We start from the raw sequence: 8,351 nt of genomic DNA on the forward strand, positions 1-8,351 counted from the left end.
TGAGCCACTGTACCCGGCCAGGCACCTCTTTGTTTTAGAGTCCTTTAACTGGCCGGACGCAGTGGCCCCTGCCTGTAATCCTAGCACTTTGGGAGGCTGAGATGGGCAGATTGCCTGAGCTCAGGAGTTTGAGACCAGACTGGACAACGTGGTGAAACCCGTCTCTACTAAAATATAAAAAAATCAGCTGGGCGTGGTGGTGGGCGTCTGTAATCCCAGCTACTCAGGAGGCTGAGGCACAAGAATTGCTTGAACCTGGGAGGTGGAGGTTGCACTGAGCCAAGATCGTGCCACTGCCTTCCAGCTTGGGCAGCAAAGCAAAACTCTGTCTCCAAAAAAAAAGAGTCCTTTAACTTTCCCCACAGCACTACAATACAGGGGTGATGGCTAAGTCATTGTCTCGTCCAGTGGGAGAGCCAGGGCTCCTGTAGCAGCCACCCAGCCTCCTAATGCCAGTGACAGGTTGACCCTTTTCGTTTTTGCAGCACATTGGACCTAGGCAGCCAGTGTAGCCTAGAGTGACTCAGGTCCCTTTCCCAAGTGACCTTCAATAGCTCAGACCCATCTTTTGAAAGGTATACATTTCTTCTCTACTCCCCATCATGCCCACAGATGGCACACTTAGCAGGTCTTTTTTTTTAATTTTTTTTTTTTTGACACCTCAGTCTTCTGACAGCGTGCCGACAATTTCACATCCTATTCCTGTCACCACCGGAAGTGGTAAATGTCATCACAGACATGGTGATGCATCCTCTGTCCCCCAGCTCCTTCGTGAGAAGGCATGTGCAAGCATTGATACCTAGGGTCTCCACCTGCTTCTCATCCAGGGGTACCCCTGCGTCTGTCACCCATGACCACGTGGCTGCCATGAGCTGCAGTAGCAGCTGCTGGAAGCACTTCCCCTGTACTCAGGAAGTAGAGTTGAAAAGTGAAATTGGAAAGTTAAGTGGTTTTATTATGTCATGATTATGTGGTACTTGACATGTATGATCTCATTTAATTATTACACTGCTGCAGAGAAAATCTTTTTCCTCCAATTGCATAGAAGATGTTTGAATAAGTTGACCCAGGGAATACAGCGGGTAAGTGGCAGGATAGAAATTTGAGCCCACGTTGGTAGGATTCTGAAGGGCATGTCCTTCTGTCCACACTGCAGACTGACACACCCAGAGAATACATGAGGTGTCCTCCTAACAGACCTTGTTCCTTGGAGGGAGTGGGGGTGGGGTGGGGAGAAGGAAGAGCTTCTGACCTCTCCCTTAGGACTTACAAGATAATTCCTTCTAGAATCAGACCCACACACATGGCTGGGCACCGTGGCTCACGCCTGTAATCCAAGCACTTTGGAAGGCCAAGGCAGGTGGATCATGAAGTCAGGAGATCGAGACCATCCTGGCTAACACAGTGAAACCCCATCTCTACCAAAAATACAAAAAATTAGCTGGGCATGGTGGCAGGCGCCTGTAGTCCCAGCTACTTGGGAGGCTGAGGCAGGAGAATGGCATGAACCCGGGAGGCGGAGTTTGCAGAGAGCCGAGATCGCGCCACTGCACTCCAGCCTGGGTGACAGAGCGAGACTCCATCTTAAAAAAAAAAAAAAAAAAAAAAGGAATCAGACCCACACACAGCCAGTCCTCACTTAAGCCTAACAGGTTAGTGATCACTCTCTCAAGATATTTGCCCATCAAGTATCTCCTGGACGTTTGAATTTATTGTCTTTACCAATTCATTTTCAATTAAAGGTATAATGGATTTGTCATCCTATAGGGAGATTGGGAAAAGGATAATGAAGGTAAGGCAAAGGAGGTCAGGGCAATAATGTACTTTGAAAAATGCGGTTGATTGGCCGGGCGTGGTGGCTTACGCCTGTAATCCCAGCACTTTGGGAGGCCGAGGCGGGCGGATCACCTGAGGTTGGGAGTTCAAGACCAGCCTGACCAACATGGAGAAACCCTGTGTCTACTAAAAACACAAAATTAGCCAGGCGTGGTGGTGGGCGCCTGTAATCCCAGCTACTCAGGAGGCTGAGGCAGGAGAATTGCTTGAACCTGGGAGGCGGAGGTTGTGGTGAGCGGCGATCGCGCCATTGCACTCCAGCCTGGGCGACAAAAGCAAAGCTCCGTCTCCAAAAGAAAAAAAAACAACAAAAAAACCCCAGAAAAACAACGAAAAATGCAGTCGATCCATACATGCTTAGACCAGCGGGTACAATTCTAGGAAGAAACAAGAATGAGAAGAAAGCCTCAGCAGCAGGGATGCAGGATTGAGGCACAGCATATAAAGTAATGAAGGAACAGGGGTTCTGTGGCCGGAGGATTTGCTCACATATCACTGTTAGGGGAGCCAGAAGCCACTGGACAGGTTCAGCCAAAAGTCAGTTTTCTATCCCGAGGACCTGCCCCTGTGTCAGGGCTCCTCTGTCCATTACAGCAAATTGAACTGGAGTCATCCTCTGCTGGACCCTGCCCCACTGACTCACTCTTGCTCAGAGAGTAGCAGCGATGCCTCTCACCACTGGGAAGGCAGCCCACTCCTGTGGATGGGAAATTTGTTCTCTAGTTTGGCTGGGTGTGCGTGTGTAGATCAGGGCAGAAATCCAGAAAAGAGGAGGAAAAATTAGTTAACAGATGGGAAGATAGGAAAACTTGCAGTTCTCGGTTAATTTTTAAAAATTGTATTGGCTGCTGTCAATGTGGCAAGAGGCCGGGGGGCAGGGCAGGGAGGTGTGGGTGGGTGGCGAGGGGCAGGAGGTGGGGACAGCTTTGAACGCTGAAGGGTGTGTGAACAGGCCCCACAAGTGGCTTCATTCAACAACTTTGTGTTTTGTTGTTGTGTTGTGTTTTCTCTTTCAGTTTCAAAGAAGCTGGCACCGATTCCACCCAAGGTCCCCTTTGGCCAGCCGGGGGCTATGGCAGACCAGTCCGCTGGCCAGCCGTCCCCAGTCAGCCTGTCCCCCACCCCGCCCAGCACCCCGTCACCCTATGGACTGAGCTACCCTCAGGGGTACTCCTTGGCCTCGGGCCAGCTCTCCCCAGCTGCAGCTCCTCCCCTGGCCTCTCCTTCTGTCTTTACAAGCACTTTGAGCAAATCGCGGCCCACTCCTAAGCCGCGACAGAGACCTACTCTGCCGCCTCCTCAGCCTCCCACAGTAAACCTCTCGGCCTCTAGTCCACAGTCCACGGAGGCCCCCATGCTAGATGGCATGTCCCCTGGGGAAAGCATGTCTACAGGTAACCAAGCCACAGGCTCCCTCACTTTTTTTTATGAACTTTAGTGAAATGTGCCTAGGGGAGGGATTGCTAGTGTTACTGCCAGTGAACACATTCCTGCGTGCTTTGGGATGACTGGGCTGGCACCAGGGGTAGCTCATAAGATCTCCTTAGAAGCCCACCAATGGAAAGCAACCCTGGAATCCATGTGTCCCACACAGGGGCTTCTTATGGGATCTCTCTCGGTCTAAGCCCACCAGCCTGGGGTTCTGTTTTTGCTCTTATTATCGGGGGTTGAAGACACTGAGTCATTTGGAGTGGGGCCTCAGGAGAGGCTGGAAGCTGGTTATGATCACAAAACAGCATCAAAACTCAGGTATTTCCTGGATAGAGCCCAAGCAACTGACAGGTATAAATGCTTATCTGGAGAACAGGGGCTAAGAACCCAAGATGTTTTTTACTATTACTAAAATAAGCCTTGCTAGAAAAATATACTTCCAGATAGATATTTAGAGAGGGGTGAATTTCAGAAAACATGCATGTCTCCATTCTCCTCCACCAGACTCCCCTCCCTGGCCAATTCCCTGAGGAGCTAATTGGACAAACCCACAACGACTTAATTTAGTTTGGGCTTAAATTTAGAAACAAAGACGGAGCTCTCTTCCCCCAGAAAAATCTGTAAGCACAAAATCGCAAACACACACCACGTTTAGCCAAAACCATTCATTGGCTGGAAGGAACGGGATGTTTTTGGAACATCTCCCCAGACACTTCAACCACATAAGATTATAAAGTCAGGGGCCTATTTGTGGTGGCTGCTAAAGTCATTTGAGCATTTTCCTTGTTCAGGGAGACAGGCACAGGGTTGAGCTGTGTCTTGGGCTAGAGCCAACCCACTTAGTAAAGTGCAGTAGCATGGCGGTGAGCTGGAGCATATGTGTACCTAGTGTTGTCCCAAGTAGCAGAAGGTGAGGCAGCTTGGGTTGGAACACACACACCACATACACACACACCCACTCACCCATTTCAAAGAACAGTGCTGTCCTAGGATGCACTGGGACTTTTTGTGATAATGCACTTTTCCCTCCACGTCCTTCTCCAAAAGAGTGATTTATTTCTTCCGTGATTAGACGGAAGCAGTGACCCTGTGGGGTTCAGCTCCGTGCTGCCTTTGAAAAGGCTAGTCCAATTTGCAAGTGTTTGTACTGGGTCAGATTTAAATATTACGGGGAAGAGCCATCTGGTGATTCGGCTTCTTTATTTTTGGATGTGATTAATGTTGAAGGTACAGCTGCTGTCATCTACCCCGAGGCTTATTAAAAATTAGGCAAATTTCTCCCTGGAAAATGCAGTAGCACCACGCCCATCTTGGTGGGTCTTGGTGCTGAGGTGTCTCCTGAAGGAGCCCATGATAGGAGGGCACAGGCTTGCTGCCCTCGGGGAAGGTCACAGCTGCGGAGGAGCTGAAGGTCACCCGAGCCAGGTCTCCAGGGCTGCTCCTCCCAGTGTGTCACATCTGGTGACTCTTCCAGCCACCCCAGGGAAGGGACACAAGGTAGTGTCAATACATAAGCAATAGAATGAGCAGAAGATGGCCAGGCACGGTGGCTCACGCCTGTAATCCCAGCACTTTGGGAGGCCGAGGAGAATTAGTTGGGCATGGTGGCACGTGCCACTAGTCCCAGCTACTTGGGAGGCTGAGGTAGGAGAATTGCTTGAACCTGGGAGGTGGAGCCGAGATTGTGCCACTGCATTCCAGCCTGGCAACAGAGCGAGACTCCATCTCAAAAAAAAAAAAAAAAAAAAAAAAAAAAAGAATGAGCAGAAGATATCAATGGAGAAGCAGAAAAGAGCAGAAGGAGAGGAGAAATTGGGGAACAAAAGTGGGCAACAGAAGGCCTGGGAGGACAGCACCCCCAGGGCTCTAAGAAGCGGAGTGGCTCATGTTCCATCTTGCAGGTTTAAGAACTCCTGACCTTCAGGATTCATAATGTCCCTCGCCCTGTGCGGACCCTATTTTAATGTCCTTTTGGCAGCAGACTGTTGTTTTGTCCCATACGTTCAGGTCTCTGAGCCAGTGTAGAATCCATCATGGTTTGATGTGGCCCGTCTGGGACTGTGATATTGGCATAGCTTTTTTTTTTTTTTTTTGTGACGTTCATGTTTTGTCGTGTTGATTCCTTTCTCCGAATCCTATCATTGTGTTCTTGCAGCTGTGTGACATGAGTGGCGCAGTTTTGGATACGTGTGAGGGGGATTTTCAGGGTAAGCTGGCCCCGGCCTCGCCCCTCCACCCCGCTAGCTAGCCAGGCCAGCTGCCCGCTCCTCCCCTCCGCTCCTCGTCTCTGCATGTGGCTCAGACCATTTGCATGGCAGCTTCACTCTCCAGCCTTCCCCGGCCTCAGCAAGGATGAGTTGATCCATGAGCTTATTTGGCTTTGGGGCATCCCTGGCCTCCTTTTCTTTCTTTTCATTAGGAGGAGCTGGGGGAGAACCCAGCCAGCCCCTTTCCCCCACCTTCTCTTTCACTGGAATCACATCTGCAGCTCCTCCCCCTCCGCCCTCCCTCAGGCTTAGACCGTGGAGCTGTAACAGATCTGTTCTTCGTGTGAGACTTTTGTGCTGGAGACGCTTGTGCCCAGCACCCTGGGGGACATGCACCTGCTCACCTTTGTTTAGGAAGGCGTCCTGAGGGGAGGTCATACCAGGTGCAGCCCAGCACAGGGTCCACACCACAGCTTGGACCCCATTTTCTGTGGCCCCGAGTTTGCACCAGCAGATCTCCCCTTCCAGACTTAGATCCTAACGTCTGGCTTCCTCCAGGCTGAGACTGCTGGCAAATCCTAAAGAATCCATATCGGAGCTCATCCCGCTCCCCTTCTCCCTCATCCCAAGTGGATATGGCCAGACAGATCCTTTCTATCCAACTCAATAAAATTTGGGGGAGCATTTATATCAGTATCTATTTGGTCTCCTCCTCCTATAAAGAGTAAATCCTCAAAGCATAACTGAGGGAAAGGCACGAAGGAAGCCAGAAGGACTTTGGTGTATTTGCCTCAGTAAGTAGGGGTGGCCAAAGCAAACCAGGTCTTCTCCCCGATTTGGCCCATGGTCCTGCAGAGACTACCGAGGCGCACCAGGATATCTGGTGCTCACAGACAGGTCTCCTGGCGGGTGCTTCCCGAGTGTCCTGGAGACAAGCAGCCACTGTGTCCCTTTTCCCAGGAATGCTGATGAGGGCTTCTGCCCCTGAATCCCATTCCCTTGCATAGTGACTCCTCCCTTGGGGGTGTCTTTAAGGGAGCAGCAAGGATAAAGGTATGACAGCTCACACAAGTGCTTGTTCTGGGCCTGTCTAAATTCATCACCGCCCTGTATTATTCCCATTTGACTGCTGAGGCACAGGGAAGGTAGGAAACTTGTCCAAGGTCATGCTCTTCCTGCCTGACATATTTGGGATTTTTGAATCTAAGCAGGGGAGCTTGGTGCTCTTACCTGATAGCGAACCCTGCACAGTGAGGTGGGCCCCGGGCCACTCAGCCTCACACCTGTGTAGAGACATGACCCAAGTAGCTGGGGAAGGGCAGAGGTGGGTCTGAGGCCACCTGCTTCAGAGGAACAAGTGGCACTGGCTGTTCCTCCAGCCCCACGCCCCAAATCTCTGCTTCTCCATCAGGCAGCAAAACAAAGACTGGAAGGACGTGAGGGCTGCCTGGGGGTTGGGGCAAGGGAGGACCTTTGTTCAAGAGCTTCCATGTTTGTATGATGTCTTTCAGGACAGTGTCCAAATGTATGTCTGTACACTTAGTATGGTATTCCCCAGTCTGAACATGTGTTCCCTTCCTCTGCCTCCTGGAGTGCTGCTCCCAGCCTTGCAAAGCTAAGTGACGGCCAGAAACTAAGCAGGCAGGCCGGGCGTGGTTGCTCACGCCTGTAATCCCAAAACTTTGGGAGGCTGAAGTGGGTGAATCACCTGAGGTCATGAGTTCGAGACCAGCCTGGCCAACATGGTGAAACCCAATCTCTACTAAAAACACCAAAAAAAAAAAAAAAAAAAAAATTAGCCGGGCATGGTGGTGGGTGCCTGTAATCCCAGCTACTCGGGAGGCTGAGGCAGGAGAATCGCTTGAACCCAGGAGGCAGAGGTTGCAGTGAGCCGAGATTGTGCCATTGCACTCCAGTCTGTGTGACAAGAGCGAAACTCCACCCCCCCCAAAAAAAAAAAAAAAAAAAAAAAACTAAGCAGGCGGAGGAAGGGGACAGCATGACGAGAGTAAAGGACCCAGGGGATCTGTGGTTTTCTGGCTCTCTGGCTGTAGCACATCCTGGAGGAGTCAGCAAGCACAGCCTCGTCAGTGTCCCCCAGGGCGGCGGCTGCAGCAGCAAGGGGATTTTTTTTAACGTGGTGTGGCAAAGAGGCTTCGTGTCCACTCAGCTGCCAGTCTAAGGACTTCTGTCGTCTTTGCCGACTCAGAGACGTCCAGACACTGAGCTGTTATTTCAAGTACATTTCTCCTGTTCATCTTGCCGGGAAAAATGACCTTTTAATGCTCCTAATAAATAAGGATGTAACCAGAGGTGGGGGTTGTCCTGCAGTCAGGGACAGTTGGCACCAATGACAACCAGGGTCCTGAGGGAGACCTTCTACTCCACCCATGTCAGCCATCCAAAATGCAGCTGTTTCTTAGAGTGAGGACACTGGCTCAGGGTTCCCCATTCTCTCACAGGCTTGAGAGGAGAAAGGGGTCCACTGTCTCACGTCCTGTCCCTGCAGATTCTGGGGAATGAAATGCAGTCGTCTGATATAGATCCCCAAAAAGGTGTCATTGAGACCTACTCAGCATCCTTCTTATCAAGAATAAAGGACCCTGTGGCTTGGCAGGGGAGTGCTGTTCTGGCCTTCCTCTGAACCACAGTGGCGTATCCTGGGTGCTTTGGTTCTACGAACTTATGGGGTAGAAGCAAAGCAGGCATGAGCACAACCTGATCGACTGTGCAACACAATGCTTAAACCAACCTCCAAATGATCTATCCCTAGAATAGCAGCACCCCTGCCTCCTAAGGCTGACATTATTTGCCTACAACTAGGTTCTCATTTGCCGGGAAGCCTCCTTTCAACCACCTCTCTCTCTGCCGCCTTCC

The 8,351-nt window shown here is 50.9% G+C and overlaps 1 protein-coding gene across 10 annotated transcripts in view; it reads left to right on the top strand.

Moving 5' to 3' along the window:
* Window positions 1–8,351, top strand: part of ARHGAP44 (Rho GTPase activating protein 44) — a 202,146-nt gene that overhangs the window by 192,181 nt on the left and 1,614 nt on the right. For 5 of the 10 annotated variants that reach the window (NR_135569.2, NM_014859.6, NM_001321166.2 and 2 more), the window contains one exon: window positions 2,853–3,230. The exons of 2 other annotated variants lie outside the window; for them this stretch is intronic. Coding sequence is in view for 7 of the 8 variants with exons in the window: in NM_014859.6 (NP_055674.4) it covers window positions 2,853–3,230 (378 nt within the window). In the remaining variant the exon portion in view is untranslated. Of the gene's footprint in view, window positions 1–2,852; window positions 3,231–5,422; window positions 5,475–8,351 lie in introns of all 10 variants that reach the window. 3 more of the 10 variants (NM_001321167.2, NM_001321164.2, NM_001321168.2) reach the window with 1 other exon arrangement.

The sequence above is a fragment of the Homo sapiens genome, chromosome 17 (genome assembly GCF_000001405.40).
Source record: "Homo sapiens chromosome 17, GRCh38.p14 Primary Assembly".
In the NCBI taxonomy this organism is placed as follows: domain Eukaryota; kingdom Metazoa; phylum Chordata; class Mammalia; order Primates; family Hominidae; genus Homo; species Homo sapiens.